General features: G+C 42.3%; 1 protein-coding gene across 2 annotated transcripts in view; it reads left to right on the top strand.

The window, feature by feature from the left end:
• Nucleotides 1-23,123, top strand: part of CNNM2 (cyclin and CBS domain divalent metal cation transport mediator 2) — a 171,929-nt gene that overhangs the window by 121,718 nt on the left and 27,088 nt on the right. For both annotated transcript variants that reach the window (NM_017649.5, NM_199076.3), the window contains exons 2-4: nt 9,696-9,839; nt 14,318-14,455; nt 16,784-16,953. In NM_017649.5, coding sequence (NP_060119.3) covers nt 9,696-9,839; nt 14,318-14,455; nt 16,784-16,953 — 452 coding nt within the window. The remainder of the gene's footprint in view (nt 1-9,695; nt 9,840-14,317; nt 14,456-16,783; nt 16,954-23,123) is intronic.

Genomic DNA, 23,123 nt, shown 5'->3' on the forward strand with positions numbered 1-23,123 from the left:
CAAAAATTAGCCAGGCATGGTGGTGCATGCCTGTAATCTCAGCTACTTGGGAGGCTGAGGCAGGAGAATCACTTGAACCTGGGAGGTAGAGGTTGTAATGAGCCAAGATTGTACCACTGCAGTTCAGCCTGCTTAACAGAGTGAGACTCCATCTCAAAAAACAAAAAAGACAGATGCCTTAAGAGAAATTCAGATGACATTATAGGAGCTCAAAAATATAAAAGATAATTTCTACTTTTGGGAATAGAACAGGCTTCCTGGTATGGGTGATATTATGTGTGGAATTAAGAGCAAGGTAAAAAAGGATTAAAAGGGCTCAAGCAGAGGAAGGGGTGAGTAGAGCCATGGAGGACCTGACTGTGAAAAGTCAAGTCTGGGCGGATGAAGCTTAAGAAGGGGAGAGTGGAGGTTGCAGTGTGGTGATGCCTTTGAGCCCTGCCCTAGGAACATTTTCTCCTTAATTCAGTAGCTGGTGGGAAGTGAGCACTGTGCATGCGTGATGGAATGCTGTGGTTATGTTATGGTGAGTAAGTCTTCCTTTGTGAATGGAGGAGTAGAGAAGAAACAGGAGTGTTGGCCGTTGGCTAGACTTGGCAGGGGCTGACACAAAGGTGGATCCGGAGTTGATCTGGAGCTGATGGCCTAATCAGGGAGACCATGTTGTAGCACACTGAGCTACAGGTGTGCAGATAACAAGCTGTGGGGTGAGGAGGCATGGAGCTGACTGATTTCAGATATTTGAAGGCTGCTGTCAACCTCATCCCTGCCCAGATGTCTCTTCCATCTAAACGTCTCTGGCTTATGTAATTGTTCCTCCCGTGACATAGTTTGTATATCGTACAGCATTTCCCCTCAGTTTGCCTCTTGTAAAATACAAGACCCAGACCTGAACTAAGATTCCAGATATAGCTAAATACGGGAGGAGAATTGCTTCTCTTATTCTGAAGTTGTGCTGTCCCCCAGTTATCATGACATGCCCTGTTGCTGGACCAGCATGTGATCTGTCTATGCTTAAGGGACCTGCTATCAACAAAGGGAAGGGGCAGGAAAGGGAGCCCTACCGAAGGGGCCACATGGAGGGTGTTCGCCTTGGAGCCTGAAGTCTGCTGAACCTACTTAGCCCCTCCTCTTATCACAACATTACCTATTCCCCGTTCCTGTCTCCAGCCCCGTCTTCCGCCTCACCCACCCCTGTAGCTGTTGTCAACACCCTGACTCCCACCGGCTCTTTCCGGTGGTAGTTTTCCAGGTATACACAAATGTCAAGTTTCACTGAGCTGTGAAACTTATGCAGCTGTGTGTGTGTACCTATTCATTCATTCATTCTTCATTGAAAAGGAAGAAAAAGAGAAAAGACAAAGATTTCAGAGTTTTAAAGCCTGGGTGATTGGAAATCTAATGGTGTCATGTTCAGATCTAGGGACTCAAAGAGGGAGGTGTTATTTTGAAGAGGACAGCTGAACTGTCCTAATGACAGGCCTTTTCTCTGTGGTCAAGGCTACTTGGCAGAAGCAGGCCAGTTCGGGCCTCCGTGTTAGAAGCAGAAAGGGCTCGAGGGGAAAGCACACTAGCCAGACTCTAGAGTCTTCAGCATGTCACTTACACTGTGGCCCTCAGGCCCTTCCTCCACCACAGTCTTTATCTCCAGCATCTTCTGTCGCCAAAATCACCTTTCGTGACCTTTCGGCTGCATTTGATACTTTTGACTGCTTTCTGCTATTTGGGACAGTTTTTGTTTTTGAATGTGGCTTCCAAAACACCCATTCCCTTTATTCCCCCCTCCCCTTCCTGCTGGCCACTCTTTCTCAAGTCTCTCTTTGGTTCTATCTCAGCCTCCTGACCCAGGAAACTCGGGCACCCCCATGCTTAGCGCTGGCTCTTTTCGCCATCCATGGCCTAGGTGATCTCAGTGGGTTTCTGGCTCTGCTACCATCTGTACTTGCTCAGTTTTTGTCTGTAGCTTACCTCTGTGTCTCTCTCTCTTGAATTCTGGACTCTTGTATCTATCTGACATTTCTACTAGGATGTCAAATTTATCCAAAACCGAGCTGACTTCTGCCTTCTAGACTGATGCCATGCACTGTCCTCCACTGGGAGCGGCAGCTCTGTTCCTCTCATTGCTCAGGCCAAAAAGCAAGTCAGCCTGACTCTCTCATTCTCCTCCACCCGCTATCCAGTCCATCAGCAAATCCTGCTGGCTCTTTCTGAAACACTGTCTATCCAGAATGCAGGTACTTCTCATCACCTGCACCATTGCTCCCGGGCCCACCATCCTCCCTGGCTTGGCTTACTGGTAACTTCCTGATTGGGTTTCCCCGCCTCAGCCCTTTCCCAGGGCTATTCTCCTCCCACCTGCTGCCAGGCCTTTCCCTGGCCATCCTGTGTTAAATGTCATCCCGCCCCTACTGTTATGTTCTCCACAGCACTTGAACACGACCCAACATGCCTTTTCACTTCAAGGTTTATTCTTCTATTAGTTTTCCCAGAGTCTGCTTCCCTAGTGTCCATCTCCCCTGCTCGAATGCCTCTTGAGAGCCAGTGCTTGTATTTTGGTCCTTGTGGTATGGGCCTGGCACATAGTAGGCAGTCAGCAGATATTTATGGAACAAACAAATGAATTTGTGTGACTATAGTTCATTGTTCATAGTTCATTCATAGCCCGGATTTTATGGCTTATATATTATGTTCATATACATTCTCTCACTTGATCAGTTTGTTCACTTGTAAATCTGACTAAATCCAATTGTAATTATATTTAAAGTGTATTGACTTCCTTGACTGCCAATATGCAAATTGGCTTCCTCTGGAGATCTTAAGTGTAGCCATTAAAAGATCATGTCATTTTTTGTTAGTGACATGGGACCTAAATTTAGACTTGGAGAGCTTTTGCTTCTTTTATCACTAGTTCTATAGAACTCCCTTTTTGCAATTTTATTGATTCCTATTTATTGAATTATTATAATTTTATGTTAGTAGATCAGAAATTTAAAAACAAAAGCATATCAGATGCTTCATTTGCCGTCTCCTTGGTTAGTAAGGAGGCCGCAGCATCTCACAACTTCAGGGAAACATGAAGCATTGCATTCTGTGCTAACGGTGCCCCCTGGAGTTGTGCAACGCAGATGTCATGGCGAATGTAAGATGTTTGGCTTGAGTTTCTCATGACGGGGGTCTGTTTTCTTCCTGCTGTTTGAGTGGCATTTTAGGACCCCACAGGCTCAGTTTGCCTTGTGCTTGCATTATTGGGTCTTCTTGACTACTCTGTGTCACTTTTTATTAGCACAGCTATATCACGTTGTTCCTAATTCCCTTCCACTACATCCATTCCATCGACTTTCTTCCTTAATGTCTGCCTAGTCCCATTTCACTTCATTGACATCAACATTGTCTGATAGCAAACAAGTCCATATTTTCATCTGGCCGTTACAGGTGTCCTTGTTGGCTTAATCATAATAAAAACAGTTATTACCATCAAAATACAAATGGTATCTGTCATTTAAAATTTGAGCCTAGAAGTATGGTAAGGTTAAAAGATGCAAATGTGGTAATCCACTACCATTCTGGGCTGGTTTACCAATTCAGAGAGAATATGCAAATAATAAACTTTAATTTGTGGAGCAGTGGAAGCAGGCAGAGGTAGAAATTTGATCCCAATTCTACCTTGTATAGATGATTTTAGTTGCTTAGTCCATCTCCCAGTGCAGACATGGTTTTTGTAATTTCACCTGTGTTACTGCCCTGCCCTGAGCACTAGTGGTTATAGAAAGATGGGCAATCTAGGCTGTTCATAATAGCTTGCTTAGGATTCTGAATTTGAGGAGAGATGTATTTGTAAAACCCTGTACTCTGAAAACAGGCCTGTTTAGATTCCCTTAGGACCAGAAAAGGAGGAGAAGGGCTAGGAATTTAAATACCAGAACAGTTCAAACTGCCTGGTGTACAGCAAGATCTCTTACAGCTTGCAAGAAAGGGCGCTCTCCCAAGCCCTGATCGTGACAACAATTTATGCTTTATTTGATCTATATGCAGTTTATAAAGTTTATTTAGTCTATGCATATTTAAAAGTTTTAGTGTTTAATATCTGTGATTAAATATTTTGTTGACTGCTATATTTTCATTCTTCTCGTTGGAAGTTAAGAATCCATCAGTTTATCATCTTTTTAAGTTTTGGGTTTATTCTTCTATTCGTTTTCCCAGAGTCGCTTTTCTGCTTTCAGTCCTGACTTAATTTTTCCAATGCTCAGGTTAAGAAAGGTCCTATTTGAGCTCGGTTTTGAAAATTTATGTATTGAAAAGTTGTTTATTTGGGAGGCCCATGTGGATCACTTGAGGCCAGGAGTTCCAGACCAGCCTGAGCAATATAGCGAGACCCTGTCTCAACAAAAAATTTAAAAATTAGTTGGGCATGGTGGTGCACGCCTATAGTCCTAGCTGCTCAGGAGGCTGAGGTGGGAGGATCACTTGAGCCCAGGAGTTCAAGGCTGCAGTGAGCTACGATCATGCCACTGCACTCCAGCCAGGGAGTGAGACCCTGTCTCAGAAAAAAAAAAAAAAGTTGTTTACATTTTCTTTTTGATTTATCCCTTGACAAGGACTAAAGTCCCTGCAGTGAATGGTTAAGTGGGAAGGTGCATGGAATCACTGTTCTCCAAAAGCCTGAGTGAAGGAGAGAGGTGTCATTGTTTTTCCTTTGTACTGTGCACAGGGAAGAAGTTTCAGAAAACAGGACTTCTCACCAGGAATTCCAAAGTTAAAAGAATGTGGCCCTGGGGCAGATGGAGAAGTTTCAGCCTTGAAACAAGTGAACTTGGAGGAAAACTTAATTTTCAGTGTAAGAAGCCTAATTCACAGGAATAATTTCTCCTAGAGTAAGGCCCTTTCCAGCCAAATCTGTCGGTGCTATTGAGCTGGTATTTCAAGTATGTCCATCTGCATTTAAACGAGTTGCTCCAAGACAATCTGATTATACGGTAGTTACTTTGGTGAGAATAGCGCCTCAGTGGAATGGAAACTTCATTTTGAGTCTAATATTAGACCTTGCTTTGGAAAATTCCTTTTAAATGATCACAAGCTGGGAATAGCAAAAGAATTTAACTTTCGACAGACAGCATTCACCAAGAATTTTTAACTGCTTATGTTGGGTCCTTGGGAAAGCAGATGTGAGAAACCTACCGGACCAAGTGGATGAGATGAGAATTGACTTGACCTGATGCAGTGTTTATATCCATTGCTGATAAGTTTCCCTCCTCGTCTCCTCTGCTCAAAATGTTTTCATTCTTTGAGCGTGAGCATGCTAGGGATGAAGATTGTAGGATGCCTAATTGTCTAACAATCTAAACTTCTAGGCTTGTAGACACAGCTGCCTAGAAGGGGGTCTGAGGCAGAGCAGAAGCTGACTTAGACTGCCAAGTTAAGAAAGGGCCAACAGATCTGCAGGACCAGAGCCATTGTCTGCGTAAGTGCTGGGAGCTTGATCAGATGCAGCCCTCAGAATATTTTTAATGTGGCTGGTTGTATCTGGGTGAACTTACCCAACTTAAAGTGTTAACTAAACTTTATTTAAAGCTCTTGCACCCCACCCCCCGCCACCGCCACCAAGAAAACACTCTGTCATTAAACAAAAATTATACAAAAATTAGCTGATTAGGAAGTTTCCAGATAATGCCTACTTTGGCTTCATTTATGGATATGTTTTAGATACTTTGCATGCTTTGGATTGGGAAAACCAATATTGTTGTTTGAGAGATGCTGTTACTATTTTAAAAGATCTTTGAGATTGAAATGCATCTTTTTAACTTTTTATTTTATTTTTTTATAGAAATGAGTTCTTACTATGTTGCCCAGGCTGGTCCCAAACTCCTGGCCTCAAGCGATCCTCCTGCCTTGGCCTCCCAAGATGCTGGGATTACAGGCGTGAGCCATTGTGCCCTGCCTGAGGTGCATCTTCTAATCACTTTGTACATTTAATAATATAGTGGGGTTTTTTCCCTCTAAGTTGGTAATAAGTTGATGGTGCCTTAGAATTTAGGAAAAACATTAATAAAATAACGAGCATTACCACTTAGTGATCACCCAGCCGATTCCAGGCAGTGTCTTTGCTGGGTACCAGCATTATCTCTGATTTTCACAACAATCCTATTGCAGTAACAATTATGAGGCTGGCTTTAAAGATAAGGAAGCTCAGAAAAGTTATGTTTGGTCATGGTCTTCTGCTAGTAATGGCTAATGAGTGGCCTGCTGGAGTTCAAATCCAGAACTGTTCGACTCATGTTCTTCCCTTGCCATCCTGGTCTCAAGCAATCCATCCCCCAAAGCAGCAGTCTTTAACCTATTTATGCCTAGTGTTCCATTATTGGAATGCTAAGCTTGTGGGAGTTATTTATATTCTACTGCTCAAGGTCATCACCAAGGTCTGATTTTTCACAAAAACTTGCAACCTGTGACATAAATGGGTTAAACTTTTTTTGGTCTCAGGACCCCTTGAAACTCTTAAAAATGATTGAGGATCCTTTTATTTATGTGGGTTCTATCTTTTGATATTTACTGTATTTGAATTAAAACAGAGACCTTCAAAACATTGGTTGATTTAAAGGACAATAATCCATTGCTTGCTAATATAGTGTTATTAATAAAAATATTTTCTAAAACAAACAGTAGAAGAGTGCCATTGTTTTACTTTTTGCATGTCTAATCAAGCTAAAAGGAAGGCAGCTGGGTTCAGTCTTGTGCATTCAGTCTGTGCAGTATACTGTGTTAGTTGAAGTATATCAGGAGAATCTGGCCTCACACAGGTATGTATTTGGAAAAGGGAGGAGTATCAGCTTTTTTGGACAGTGATGGGTATTCTCCTTTGATATTACATCAAAACTCCATACATAGTAATTTATTAAAGGTTAGTTGTAATGTAGAATCTGAAACCATACCAGTAGACCTTTGGACTCTTACATTAACTTTGTTTGGTCCGAAATCTTCTTTACAGAAGAATACTGAATAATATATGCAGGTACTCCCCCTTCTAAATAATACATGTAGATACTCCCATATTCCAGGAAGTAGAGCTTAACTCCCACCCTTGTATGGGTGGGCTAGACTTAGTGATTTGTTTTCAAATAATAGAATTAAGGAAAGGGAAAAATGAGTAACTTTCCAATGGAGAAACCTGGGAAACACAGCCTTAACCAAGTGATGAAAAAGGTGAATGTCAGCAGTGATGTCATATAACCACTGATGTAACTAGAAAACCTATAACCCAGTATACTCATGGGTGAAACATCAGACAAGCTCAAATCGGGGGACATTCTGCAGGAGGCCTGACCAGTACCCTTCAATATTGTCAATGTCATAAAAAGCAAAGACCGAAAAACTGTCACAGACCAGAGGAGACTAAAGAGACATGACAACTAAATGTGGTGTGGTGCCCTGAACCAGACAACAAAACAAAGAGGATGTTGTAGAAATAATCAGCGAAATCCAAATAAAGTCTGGAGTTTACTTAATAGTAATGTACCAATGCCAATTTTTTAGTTTTGACAAATATATCATGGTAGTGTAAGATGTTAACAATGGGGGAAACCGGGTGAAGGGTTTATAGGAACTCTCTGTACTCTCTTTGCAACTTTTCTGTAAATCTAAAATTATTCCAAAGTAAGAATTTTTAAAAATCTGTTGTTCTGTCTTATACTCCAAATGGATTGTGTACTCGTGCATGATTTTGTAACATTGCCATAGTCACTTGGAAAATATTGGTTCACTGAGTTATACAGATCTTCAAAATGTTGACAGATTGCAATATTCAATATTTTTAACAATCGTTTGTTAATATCACCAGCAATCTCATCAGAAAAGTCTTTAATTGTTGAGAAGCTGTTACGCTCGTGGCTACAAGTCTCCCAAAATTTTAATTTTCTTTTCTTTTTTTTCTTTTTTGTTGAGACAGAGTCTCACTTGTTGCCCAGGCTGGAGTGTAATGGCACGATCTTGGCTCACTGCAACCTCCACCTCCTGGGTTCAAGCCATTCTCCTGCCTCAGCCTCCTGAGTAGCTGGGATTACAGGCGTGCACCACCACACCTGGCTAATTTATTTTGTATTTTTAGTAGAGACAGGGTTTCACCATGTTGGCCAGGTTGGTCTTGAACTCCTGACTTCAAGTGATCCGCCTCCCAAAGGGCTGGGATTACAAATGTGAGCCACTGCGCTCAGCATTTTTTTTTTTTTTTTTTGAGTGGGAGTCTCACTCTGTTGCCCAGGCCTGGAGTGCAGTGGCACAATCTCGGCTCACTGCAACCTCCGCCTCCCAGATTCAAGTGATTCTCCCACCTCAGCCTCCTGAGTAGCTGGAATCACAGGCACACACCACCACATCCAGCTAGTTTTTGTATTTTTAGTAGAGATGGGGTTTTGCCATGTTGGCCAGGCTGGTCTCAAACTCCTGACCTCAGGTGATCTACCTGCCTCAGCCTCCCAAAACGCTGGGATTACAGGCGTGAGCCACCGCACCCAGCTAAAATTTTAACTGTCTGTTGAAAGCTCAAATTTTATCATTGGCAGTCCACACTGCCTATTGTTTTCCTTGATGTGACAGGTTCATTTTTGAGAAAATGCCTGACAAATACCCAAGTCTATATAACCATAGTTTGTCTAGTAGTCGTGTTTGAAGTAAAAACATTCAACAATGAAAGTGGCCAGTCCAACTTGCAAGTCAATCACAAGAGTCTTTCCTCAGGACGGCTGCCATACTTCAGAATTCAACAGAAGTGTTTTATGACAATTCCCATGTTGTCATACAGATTACCAAAAGACATGTACTCAGGTCAGGATTTAATGAAATTAATGTTTACTGCTTCAGCAAGGACTTTTTTTTAAGACAGTGTCTTACTCTGTCGCCTAGGCTGGAGTGCAGTGGCTCGATCATAGCTCACTGCAGCCTCGAACTCCTGGATCCTCCCACCTCAGCCTCCCAGGAAGCTGGGACTGTAGGCCTGCATGTCCAGCTACTTTTTCTGTTTATTTTTTTGTAGAGACAGGATCTCACTGTGTTGCCTAGGCTGATTGTGAACCCCTGGGCTCAAGTGGTCTTCCCGCCCGGGCCTCCCAAAGCTCTTGGATTACAAGAGTGAGCCATCGCTCCCAGCCAAGTACATTCTTAAGAGAAGCTACTTCCTTCCCTTTACTGCATGTGTGTTGTGACAGAGAACAGTGTTCACTAAGTGCAGCTTGCTCCCACTACGTTCATCTGTGCTAAGGTGCCTTTTCACCATCAGTTCAAATTTCAACACAGTGAAAACAGCCAATAGCATCTTAGTATTCTTATGAAAATAGTTGGGCCTCATGGACCTCCTATAAGGGTCTTGGGAATCCCTAGGGCACCATGGACCACACTTTGAGAACCACTCTCTTTAGGTGGCAGTTGCCGAAAGGTTACGCAACAAGAGACATTACCATTAGGAAGCAGAGAACAATGGTGCAGTGCAATGTATGTGGAGGGTGACGCTCTTCTGGCGTAACTTTCTGCCTTTTAATGGCTCTTGAAGTTCTTCCATTTGTTTGTGATGTCTCAGTACCATTTTAAAATGCTGAAACAGAGATTTTGATAATTCGACATCTGTGTTTGCTGGTGTTTTTACCATATCACATATAACATGTCATTCAGAAAATTCAGAAAGTCACTTCCTAAACTTTTTCTTGTCTCTAAAGGTAAATCTCACCTGGCTATCGTGCAGCGGGTAAACAATGAGGGAGAAGGGGATCCATTTTATGAAGTTCTGGGAATCGTCACCTTAGAAGATGTGATTGAAGAAATCATCAAATCTGAGATTCTTGATGAAACAGATTTATACAGTAAGTAGCATTGTCTGAGTGTATTTCCCGAAACCTTTGCTTTTTTTGTTGTGCTGTTTGTGAGTCTTCTGACGTTTCTCCAGTTGCTGCCTCTGTTTATAATGACACATGATGTGTGTAGGCCGTGCACAACCTGTTGGTATATTCCAGTCCTTTTATCAGAAGGAGCAGACCCTGTAATGTCAAGCGACAGCATTCTTCTGAACAGCCAGCTGCTTCTAACCACTGATGAGGGCATTACTTGCCCTAAACAGAAAACTGCTGTTGGTTTTAAATTTTATTTTACATATGTAAAAAAATCTCTACTAAAATTTCATTTTATACAACTAGGTATATTGTTTTCAGATAAACTTCTGTTTGTACTTTTCATAACTCAAGTACTCTTTAAAGTGAATGGGAGGCCGGGCGTGGTGGCTCACGTGTGTAATCCCAGCACTTTAGGAGGCCGAGGCAGGTGAATCACCTGAGGTCAGGAGTTCGAGACTAGCCTGGCCGACATGGTGAAACCTTGTCTTTACTAAAGATACAAAATTAGCTGGGCGTAGTGGTAGTGGTGCATGCCTGTAATTCCAGCTACTCTGGAGGCTAAAGCAGGAGAATCGCTTGAACCCAGGAGACAGAGGTTGCAGTGAGCCAAGATTGTGCCACTGTACTCCAGCCTGGTTAACAGAGTGAGAGTCCACCTCAAAAAAAAAAAAAAAAGTGAATGGGATTTGTTAAACTGATAGATGACAACTGTTTATACTTCCTTGTTCCAGAACCCTTGGGTCAGGGGTGGAGGTGAGATGTGCAAGTGTAGCTTGCTGGGGCAGTGGGTCGGGGGTGTGGGAAGCAGGATAGGGTAGGGTACACAGTAAGAATGTGTTTTTCCTGTTCTCTGCTTCTCTGCTTTCTCTTTGGGGGAAGGTGAAAGTGGGGAGTGGCTTGGATCAGGGCAGGGTGAGGTAAGTATGGATACCTTATTTGCCCAGGTGTAGACTTGATCCTGAACTGAGTGTTGAACTGAGTCCTGTCTCATTAAAGTGTAAAATATGATTGCTGGACTGTGGAGCTTAAATCTTCTTTGGCCACACCCTTAGCAATGCTCAAGGGTTCCATAAAGCCAGAGATGGTCCAGGCCTGAGATGTTTGGGGGTCCCAGGGGTGGGATAGAGAAAGAGCATCTGGGCTCTGTGTATGCTGCCTGGTTTTAAAGCATGGCTTGGCGGAGGGGAAATGGACTGTCTGAGCTTCCCAACAAGCTGGTCATTCAGGATAAAGTCTGCTTTGCTCAAAGCAGGGTGCTTTTTATTCAGTCCTGCTAGAAGGAAACATCCCACATTTTAAAATTGAGAAAGTTTGGGAGGCCGAGGTGGGTAGATCACAAAGTCAAGAGATCAAGACCATCCTGGCCAACATGGTGAAACTCCGTCTCTACTAAAAATACAAAAATTAGCTGGGCGTGGTGGCACATGCCTGTAGTCTCAGCTACTTGGGAGGCTGAGGCAGGAGAATCACTTGAACCCGGGAGGCGGAGGTTGCAGTGAGCTGAGATTGCGTCACTGCACTCCAGCCTGGTGACAGAGCCAGACTCTCTCTCCAAAAAATGATAATAATAACTGAGAAAGTCACTGGGCATGGTGGCTCACCCCTGTAATGCCAGCACTTTGGGAGGCCGAGGCGGGTGGATCACTTGAGTTCGGGAGTTAGAGACCAGCCTGACCAACATGGCGAAACACCATCTCTACAAAAATATAAAAATCAGCTGGGCATGGTGGCACGCACCTGTGATCCCAGCTACTCAGGAAGCTGAGGCAGGATAATCGCTTGAACCCAGGAGGTGGAGGTTGCAGTGAGCCGAGATTACACCACTGCACTCCAGCCTGGGCAACAGAGTGAGACTCTCTCAAAATAAATAAATAAAACTGAGAAAGTCTTCCCTGTACCCACAAAAGAAAAAATTTTACACTTAACTAACGACTATTTTCTGAAAACGTATCCTGTTTTATCCTCACATCTGAATAGCATTCTTAAAAAACACCCTTTCCCACATCTGTTTTATCCTTTCCTCACTTGGAGGGTCGTCAGAGGTCTCAGAGAATATTATTTGTACGTTTACGTTCTTTTCATCCTTCCTCACAAATGACTGTTTAAAAACCAACTGTGGCTGGGCGTGGTGGCTCATGCCTGTAATCCCAGCACTTTGGGAGGGCGAGGCAGGCGGATCATGAGGTCAAGAGATGGAGAACATCCTGGTCAACATGGTGAAACCCTGACTCTACTAAAAAAAAAAATACAAAAATCAGCTGGGTGTGGTGGCGTGCGCCTGTAGTCCCAGCTGCTCGGGAGGCTGAGGCAGGAGAATCACTTGAACCCAGGAGGCAGAGGTTGCAGTGAGCAGAGATCGCACCACTGCACTCCAGCCTGGCGACAGAGTGAGAATCCGTCTCAAAAAAAAAAACAAAAAAAAAAAAACCCAAACCGAGTGTGTCTGTATTTCTGTTTGCCCAGGGGTAGTACTTACCATTAGGAAGGCGATTTACCATTTAGGAGATCCTATGTTTGCACTTCAGTTTTATACAAATGTTAGTTTAACTTCTCTTAAGCCTTGATTGGACTGATCTCATACAGAAGTGTTGCCTGATGTTACTGGCTCAAGATGCTGGACTTGTGGTTTCAGGTTTTTTTCTTTTTTTTTTTTTTAGACTAAGTCTTGCTCTATTGCCCAGGCTGGAGTGCAGTGGTGCAATCTCACCTCACTGCAACCTCCGCCTCCTGGGTTCAAGGGAGTCTCCTGCCTCAGCCTCCTGAGTAGCTGGGATTACAGGCACCCGCCATCACACCTGGCTAATTTTTGTATTTTTAGTAGAGACAAGGTTTCACCATGTTGTTCAGGCTGGTCTCGAACTCCTGACCTCAAGTGATCCACCTGCCTTGGCCTTCCAAAGTGCTGGGATTATAGGCGTCACCGTGCCTGGCCGATTTCAGGTATATTCTTGATCTGGATAGAGATTGGGAGTGACAGCTGTTGCCATTAGAAAATTATTTTTAAATTCTGTATTGATTTCTACTGTCTGGTTCTCAAAAGAATTGAGACAGACAGAAAGTGGAAGTTGCAGTCGCCTTCTCAGGAAAAGCCTAGTAATCAATCTGTTTTGCTTTATGCAAGAAACAATAATGCAGTGACTCAGTCCTTGGGAAGGAGCAAGCAATTGGGGTCTTGTCTTTAAGCTCGTTTTTTCTTGATCATTAATTTGTCTAGAAAAATACTTGAAAGATGGTTTTGCAGGAGTTACCTTCCAGGTCAGGAACTGGTAAACCAAAGCCCATGGGTGCCTGCACTCTGCTTCTGGTGACCTGCAAGCTAAGAGTGTCTTTTCACATCTTAAAATTGTTGCAAAATGGCTAAGCATGGTGGCTCATGTCTGTAATCCCAGCACTTTGGGAGGCTGAGGCAGGAGGATTGCTTGAGCCCAGGAGTTCAATACCAGCCTGGGTAACATAGTGAGACTCTGTCTCTACAAAAAAAATTTTAAAATTAGCTGGGCGTGGTGGCACACACCTGCAGTCCCAGCTACTTGGGAGGCAGAGGTGAGAGGATCACTTGAGCCTTGGAGTTGAGGCTGCAGTGAGCTGCGATTGTGCTGCTGTACTCCAGCCTGGGCAATAGAGCAAGAGCCTGTCTTAAGAAAAGAAAAGAAACCAAAAGAAGAACAATTACTTTGTGACATGCAAAAATTATATGCAATTCAAATTGCAGTGTTCATAAAGAAAGTTTGATTGGAAAACAGCCATGCTCCTTCATTTTTCTAAACAGCAGTGTGGAGACTATGTAGACCCACATAGCCTAAAATATTGACTCTCTGGCCCTTTTCGGAGGAAGTTCGCAGACCTCTGTCCGGATCCCATTCGTATCTGCTTGACCTTGAGGATCTCATGGTCTGGAGTAGCAGTGAAGCAAACATATTATTAAAACACTGCTCTGCGAAAGCATTCATGTTTGTTTCTTAAGGGGGTTTTGTTTGTGTGTTGTCTTTCAGCAGAGGGAAGGGGCCTCTTACAGGCAGGGACACTCCTCCCTTGTGTGTACACAGTGGTGGTCCTTTGCTGGAGGATGGTGACATTGAGCAACAGTGGACTGTGCACTCCAGGCTGCGCGCCCTGTTGCTGTGTGCTTCTGTGGGTCTTGTGAGAGGCTCTGTCAGCATTTGCCTGATGCTGTGCTCACAAGGGCCCTCTACAGACCTTCCTGAAGTACATTCACTAATCAGGCTGCCTGCGGTCACTCGCTGCGGACTGCGTGGTGCCCAGGCCGCCGTGCTGATTTGATGAGGATCTGGCTCTCCCTCCCTCCTTCCCCGTGGCATCTGTGCATAGAGCGCCTGCATCTGGAAATACAGTCCAGCTCTTCCAATATATTTTGTCTTTTTCATTCAAAAAGAGCCCTCATCTCATGGGATGCATTTCTTTTTTTTTCTCTCTTTTAATTCCTCCCTTAGCTGACAACAGAACGAAAAAGAAAGTGGCTCACCGGGAACGAAAGCAAGATTTTTCTGCCTTTAAGCAGACAGACAGTGAGATGAAGGTTAAAATATCACCACAGCTCCTCCTGGCCATGCACCGTTTCCTAGCAACAGGCAAGTGCAGCTTATCACAGTTTGAGATCTCTACCAACCCTGAAGCGTGTTTCTCACCCACCACTGACTGGGGTGGGTTGGGGGTGGACACTGGGAAATGGGGTGATAAGTAATGCCACTTTTGTGTTTTGTTTTTTTTGTTTTTTTGTTTTGTTTTGTTTTTTTCTTTTTAAATTCTCTCCTCTCCTATGTTCAGTGTCGGCATGAACCCTCTGAGACATTTACCAGGGGTGGACCAGTAACTTAAAATTGGTCTGAAAGGTAAGGATGAATGTTAGTGCCACACTGCATGTGTACAGTAGGCCAGGCCATCTCCTTCCAGCTAGGTCCGTGGGAGAGCCAGCTGGCGGAGCAGGCTGATGGTGCCAGCCTGGCACCAGCTTGTTTGATGGACAATTGAGTCCAATCTCTCTTCAGCTTGTCCTGGAAGCACAGTTGGACATCAGTGGTAACACAGGGGCTGTGATTTGCAAAGAAGAAAACTAGGTTTTCACAATTAAATCTTTATCTTTTATGATTTTAATGAAATCAAATTCTAAGAACTTTGATATGGATTTCTTGATGGCCTCCTCAGATCAGATTAACTCGAGTCCATTTCAGGAGGCAAGTGTTCATGTTGTTTAAACCACCAACCCAGCCGGCACTGACTGCTCCAGAGAGGTCAAGGTTGAATGGACTTAAGATACTGACCAACCCTTCTCCCATCCCCAGATGCTCTCCAGGGTTGAGCTCTGGTGGCCAGGGGAAGTGTGAGAAAGTCTAAAGCATCCAGTGGCTTTAGAAGACATCGGTGTCCCTGATAGGCAGCCAGTGCCTTTCATCTGCATGCAGTAAACTTAAACCATGTTTAAAAGAAGGCTAGCCGCAACCACATGGTGGAATGCTGTTTAACTCTTTAAGGTCGTGTTCTCAGACACATGGAAATGCTCACAATATTATATTTATCACATCAGAAAATATAGCTTAATACAAAGTGGGGAGAAACAGAATCTAAAACTATGTGTACATTAAGATTAGAGTTGTGTTTTTGTGTGTACACACATGTATACATGAGCACACGTGCCTGGGCATGGCACTGGAAAGAAATGCTCACTTGATTGCTCAGAATGGTAATCTGAGTGGTTGGCTTATAGATAAGTTTTTCTTTCTTCTTTCTTTTTCTGTATTTTCTAAAATTCCTGTAATTACTATCTTATTACAAAAAAGTCACAAGTTAATACAGAACTTACAGCTTTCATAAATACATAATTAGAAAATAAAAGAACAGACGATGTCTTTCACTTATTATTCTTTTTCTAATTTTGATAATACTGTTCCTCATTTAAGTACCACAAATTAAAACTAAACATCTAGGCCGGGCATGGTGGCTCATTGCCTGTAATCTCAGCTCTTGGCGGGGCCAAGGCAGGCTGATTGCTTGAGACCAGTCTGGCCAACATGATGAAACTCTATCTCCACTAAAAATACAAAAATTAGCCAGGCATGGTGGTGGGTGCCTGTAATCCCAGTTACTCGGGAGGCTGAGGCAGAAGAATCACTTGAACCCGGGAGGTGGCGGTTGCAGTGAGCCGAGATTGCGTCACTGCACTCCAGCCTGGGTGACAGAGTGAGACTCCTTCTCAAAAAAAAAAAAAATTTAAATTAAAAAAAAAGAAAACTAAAACTAAATCTCCTACTCTGCTTCTGAGATATCATAGAGTCCAGTTGTAGGATAGCACCCTTCAGTCAGTAATTTTTGTTTTTGTTATTTAAAATAAAATTGCTGTCTTTGTAAATACTTTTGAACATTACTTTTTTTTTTTAAATTAGCATGTTGATGTGTGCACATGCCCTGCTCTTATTTCCAGTCTCGACCCTCTTTGTTCCCCACATTCCTTGGGGTAGTTGAGTGGGAGAGGGAGACGTGGGGCACCTGTGTGTGTGCGCTGGCACTAACCGCACCTGATGCTCCTGACCTTGGCTTCTTCCTTTGGCTGTTGGTCGACAGTCAGGCTGTTATGGCTTGTTGAGGGGCATCCCCCGCACTCAAGGAGCCCGCTTGCCGTTGATTTTCGTTTCTGTCAGTGAAATTAGTGTACTTTTATGAGGACTGAAGTCAATGATGGGTTGAAAAGGAAAGAAGTAAAAGGAACAAATGTGAGAATTCAGCACTTTCTAATTTCTCCCAGGTAATCTGTCCCCAGTGGATCACCAAACGGAAGCCTCGTCCATTCAAATGCTATCACTTTGATTCCAAGTATTCTTATCTAAACACCTCAATTACTATTAATAGTATAATTTTTCTCTCTCTGTTTGAAATGTAATATCAAGTTGTGTTTATATCTATAGAAGTAGAAGCATTTAGCCCATCCCAGATGTCAGAGAAGATCCTTCTAAGGCTGCTAAAGCACCCCAATGTCATCCAGGAACTGAAATATGATGAGAAGAACAAGAAAGCCCCCGAATACTACCTCTACCAGCGCAACAAGCCAGTAGACTACTTCGTTCTCATTCTGCAGGTCAGAAGAATTATTCAATAGTGGTTTGCTCTCACTGAGTATCCATCTTTCAGTTTGGTGTAAGTGAATGGGTGTCACCGTGTACATACTGAACCTTTCTATAGGGGGTAGCCTTAGACATGGGAGAATTTTATCTTCCTGTTTTCATATCTGTAAAGTAATTCTAATATAAAGCAATGCCAATAGTTACTTTAATTTTCAATACTAAAAGGTGCTTAGTAGGCTCGGTGCAGTGGCACATACCTGTCATTCCACCACTTTGAGAGGCCAAGGTGGGAGGATTGCTTGAGGCCAGAAGTTCAAGACCAGCCTGGGCAACATGGCGAGACCACCATCTCTACAAAAAATTTAAAAATGAGCTGGATGTGGTGGCATGCACCTGTGGTCCCAGCTACTTGGGAGGCTAAGACAGGGGGCGGGGCGGGGATTGCTTGAGCCCAGGAGGTTGCCATGTTTGCACCACTGCACTCCAGCCTGGATGACAGAGCAAAACCCTGTTTTAAAAAAAAAAAAAAAGTTGGGGGGATGCACCTAGTGATTACTGAGTCAGATGAAAATGGTGAATTCAATTGTTAGTATTTTTTGAAGAGTGTGGGAGAGTTTACCAGTACATGTCTGAATCTCAGTGGGTGTTTGAAATTTAAGTGTCATGGGTTATTGGTCCTTTTTCCATCCTTTTTTCCATCCTTCATGAGGACTTAAGTTTATACAGCTTCTTAGAGATATCTTAGCATCTCTTCCATTAACGCCATCAAAATAATCCATTTGTTGTTGTTTTTATTCCTGGTTACCAACCAAACTGTTTTATAGAGGAACTGATAGGATAATTACAGCCTCTTACAGCAGAGTAGCTAATTCCTTCTCACTGTAACATAATTCAGTAGATGAGGTGAGAAGGTCAATTCATTCTAAACTTCCTTTGAGTGGCTTTGGTGCTTGGGTTGACAGGAGGCCTTGTTTTATCACAGTTTCACTTAATAGAGCTCTATCCTTGGCATGGAGGCCAAGGTGGATATTAGTCGATAAAATGCTAATGTGGATCAAATGTGTAGATTCAAGCTCGGGAAAGTGTTGTGTTCATGTGTGACCCCATGTTTGGGCAGCATTGTGGTGTTTGGAAGCAGGAGTGAGGAGTAGGAAAATGCCGAGGGTTAGCTGATTACATGTCACATTCTTACAGTCCTTCTTAGAAACTTCTGTTTGCAAGTTTACTAATTTAGTACGCTGATTCATCTTCTAAATTTAGTTTTCCTCAATTGTTTTTTTTCTTTCCTCTTTGGAGATAATGTAAGCTTGTAACTCTGAGTGCACTGTTGGGAATTTAGTTTATTTACTGCAGTGAGGGAATAAAACATTCATGTTTCTCATAAGAGTGAGATGCGAATATTCCTTAAGCCTGGAGAAACTCTGGATACATCAAAGACTGTCACAGGAGGAATTGGAATATTGACATTGTGAATTTTAGTGTTAATATTAGAAACTGTGGTTTTCAGTTGTCTACTTTTATATAGTTAGTGTTTATGAAGTTGTGATTCAGTAATGCTTTATTGCTATATAAGAAAGCCATGGATCTAAAAATCTTATGGAAAAGGGACTTCATAATCTCTGTCCATTTACAAGTAAATCTTTTAAGATATTTTTGATAAGACATCTATGTATATTTACCTGTATTTGTATACCAATTTGTGTTAAATACTTATATAAAGGTGACAAGTTTTTTGAACTGTTAGGCTGATAATGCCATGGGGGTTTTACAAGTAGTGTGTATGTTTGATGAACAGGACTTACGGAGATGTTTGGTGAAAAACCATGATCTTGCAGACAGCCAGTTACCTAAGGTACAAAGAGAAGAGCAAAATGAAACACCCTCACAGCCTCAGTCAATCTGGCATAGCTGCCATCATTAACAAAGCATATTCTACCTAATATGTCACTAAGCCAGCGTTGGAAGTTCATGCCACTTTAGGGAGCATGATCCACTGTGGAGTTTGTTTGTTTTTTTGTTTGTTTTGTTTTTTGTTTGTTTTGAGAGGGAATCTTGCTCTGTCACCCAGGCTAGAGTGCAGTGGTGTGATCTTGGCTCACCGCAACCTCTGCTTCCCAAATTTAAGCAATTCTCCTGCCTCAGGCTCCCAAGTAGTTGGGACTACAGGCGTGCTCCACCACACCCGGCTAATTTTTGTATTTTCAGTCGAGATGGGGTTTCACCTTGTTGGCCAGGCTGGTCTTGAACTCCTGACCTCAAGTGATCCACCTGCCTTAGCCTCCCAAAGCACTGGGATTACAAGCATGAGCCACCGCGTCTGGCCTCCACTGCATTTCAAGAGCACTAAATAAGAAAAAAGCAATAATATCTGCCTTCCCTTCCTGGCCTCAGTGCCAGTGAGATGCTCTCCCTGCAGGAAAAAACCCTTTAAGTAATTGATAGGAATATAATTGTAAATAGAAACACATCATTTTTTAGTTGAAGCCCTAGATAAGATAAATTCCAAATTATTCAAGGAAAATGACCTAAGTAAACAAGAGTATTTTGTAAGTTACCATGTACATACCTCCCACTACATATGCATAAAAAAGCCAAAACTTCAAGTTTTATCTGTAAAAGTAGATTTTTACACCAAAATGCATTTCAGAAGCAATAAAGACAGTTAAAAGCACAGTAAATCATGGAAAAAACTTTATTGGCTCTACATGCTTTAAATAACTTAACAAAATACGTATGTAAGAAATAGGAACATGATTTTGGTGGAAGTGTTTTTCCACCATCATAGAAGATCAGGCATACTAAAAAAAAAAGTCATAGTTTTAAACTGAATACCTTGTAAAATAGAATTAACAGATTTGGAGGAAATTAAACATAATCAAGAGAAATATACTTTCGAAAAAGCTTATGTGGGCTGGGTGTGGTAGCTCATGCCTGTAATCCCAGAACTTTGGGAGGTCAAGATAGGATCGTTTGAGGCCAGAAGTTTATCAGCCTGGGCTACAGAGCAAGATCCCCTTCTCTACAAAAAATTTTTTAAAAATTAGCCGGGTTTGGTGACAGGTACCTACAGTCCCAGCTGCTCAGGAGGCTGAGGCAGGATTGCTTAAGCCCAGGTGTTGGAGGCTGCAGTGAGCTGTGATTGTGCCACTGTACTCCAGCCTGGGCGACAGAGTGAGCATGTCTCAATAAAAAAGCTATGTGACTCATAAAAATTGATCATTTATCATGTTACAGTGTACATGCTAGTAAATACAAAAAGATAGAAATTTCATGAAACTACCTGAATCGATGATAATGAAATAAAATTCGAAATAAAAAATACATAAAAGTGCTGGGCATGGTGGCTCACGCCTGTAATCCCAGAACTTTGGGAGGTTGAGGCGGGCAGATCACTTGAGTCCAGGAGTTCAAGACCAGCCTGGGCAATGTGGTGAAACCCTGTCTTTACAAAAATACAAACATCAGCTAGGAGTGGTGGCAGCTACTCAGGAGGCTGAGGTGGGAGAATCACTTGAGCCTGGGAGGCAGAGATTGCAGTGAGCCGAGATCGTGCCACTGCACTCCAGCCTGAGGGACAGAGTGAGACCCCCATCTCCAAACAAAATAAGATAAATTTAAAAAAAGAAAAGGTCATATATTAAAAAATACTAAGTCATGTTAAAATTGTGATACATTCTCTTATGTAGGTTTATATTCAAGACACAGAACATAGTGTATAATGTACTCTCTTTTTTGTAAAAGAAACATGCAAATCTACATGAAATATCTTCAGAAGGTTACCCAATAAACTGGTAACAACGAGTCTCTAAGGAGGCAACTTGAAAGGTTGAAAACAGGGTGGAAGGAAGACTGACTTCTTCCTTGCATAGTTTAAATTTCTCACCATGCGCATGTACTATTTAATTTAAAAATAGAGCTAATGACAAAATAAAAGTCCTAAATAGCAACTGAGTTAGAGAAAACATATAGAATGTAATAAAATATATATAGTATTACCATAAAAGTCTATTATTAAATAATGTAAATACCATAGAGGTGGTCTGTCAGTTTTAAGAAATCTTATTCCTTACGTACTTAAAAAGAAAATAGAACTATAATTATGTGGAAAAAGAGCAAAGCAGCAAACTAAAAAAGAACAAATTAATAAAGATTGTTATATAAACTGGCCGGGCGTGGTGGCTTGCACCTGTCCAGCACTTTGGGAGGCTGAGGCAGGCGGATCACTTGAGGTCAGGAGTTTGAGACCAGCCTGGCCAACATGGTGAAACCCCGTCTCTACTAAAAATGCAAAACTTAGCTAGACGTGTTGGTGTGCGCCTGTGGTCCCAGCTACTCAGGAAGCTGAGGCCCGAGAATCACTTGAACCCAGAAGGCGGAGGTTGCAGTGAGCTGAGATCGCGCCACTGCTCCAGCCTGGGCAACAGAGCGAGACTCTGTCTCAAAAAAATATATATAATAATAATTTAAAATTGAAAATGCCTTATAACCAACAAACACAATCAAGATTTGGCTCTTTGAAAATATGAACAGAGTCAGTGTTCTGTTGGCATAATTGATGTGATAAAAGGAAAAAAAAGTTCTCTCCTCTCCTATAAAAGCAGCTAGAATAAAAGGATTTGCTAGAAAAAATAGTCAATCTTCAAAAAACTCACAATTTCTATATTATAGAACAAGATGGCATGATAGTCAATTGCATTCTTTAAGGCTAATATGGGCTTAATCCTAAAATCTGATAATATAAGCCAATCTCACTTGTTAACATTGATGTAGAATTTCTAAATAAAATGGTAGCAGATAGCAACACACACCCAGGGTTACTGACTTGTGGCTGTGACTGAACTGGGTTTATTTTAGGAATGCAGTTCTAGTTTAAGAACAACAAAACCAAAATATGTCACATTAATTGGGAAAGTAGTAAAAAAAAATGATATTTATATCAGTAGATGTCAGACAGTTGACAAAGTTAAGCATCTATTACTGATTTTAGGAAACAGATGCCCCATCCCCTCAAATTTTTAACTGAATGGTAGACAAAAAAGAAAAAGTACAATAAATCATATCCTAAACTGGTAGCCTCCCATCTAAATCATTGTTTTACAAAGCTATCTATGCAAATATATTTATAGCAAATCTATTAACTATAAAGTAGTAGAAACAGTTCACGTCTAGCTAATCAAAGTGAGATGATAATATGAGGGATCACTATGTAGTAATGGAAGAAGTGGAAAGCATGTGCCCGGCCCATCCACACTCTTTTTTAGAGCATCTGACATGGATTCAAAAGGGACTTTTCCCTATAAACGGGGGTCGTCTTGTGGAGTATGGCAGGTGGCATCTTAAAATTTATACAGCCCTTGAAATACTTAGTATGCCTTCACCCTTCACCTGATAGGAAGGAGAATTTAAGCTTTTAATAGCAACCTCCTCATGGGTTTTTAAGTTGCACGGTCTGTGTACCCTAGTGCAGTAACGGATCCTTAATCTTGAGTCAAGCACAGATAACACACCCATTTTACTTGGACACCCAGCATTGAAACTTTTAAAATTATACTACTTAAGTATATGTCAGTATAAAATTGACTAGGTATAAGATTCCTTTGCTTAGAACTCTTATATATAACTATAAACCAAAACAAACTATCAAATGAATAAATTCTCAATGTGTAGATGATATTTGGCTGACCTGGAAGGGCCCCATCCCAGGGCTGTGGAGGGCTGCTGCCCTGCGAGCTCCCTTGCATTCAGCACACCTGGGCCTTTGTGTGTCCAAGATGTCTGCACCCTCCAGCCCTTTGCCAAATTTGAGCTACTTTGAATGTTTCTACAGTGTGTCGTGCTATTATTTGGCCTCCACTGGGTGTGACTGAATTACTTCCCTGTTAAATCCCACTCTGTTCCCTACTCATTAGCTCAGTGCTTCTCAGAATTTAATGTGCAGAGGATTCACCTGTGGGTCTTGTTGAACGGCAGATCCTTCAGTATGAAACGAATGCTTCAGTAGGTCTGGGGTGGAGTCTGAGATGCTGCGTTACCAGCAAGCTCCCAGTTGACAGTAGCAAGGCTTAGCTGTGATGCTCCAAGTAATACCACGTGGCACCAGAGTGGCCAAGGCGGGTGCTGGCACTGACATCTGGTGGTAGCACTTGATTGGAAAATGGTCAGTCAGATGGTCCAAAATGTGTCT

Source organism: Homo sapiens, chromosome 10, assembly GCF_000001405.40.
Source record: "Homo sapiens chromosome 10, GRCh38.p14 Primary Assembly".
In the NCBI taxonomy this organism is placed as follows: Eukaryota; Metazoa; Chordata; class Mammalia; order Primates; family Hominidae; genus Homo; species Homo sapiens.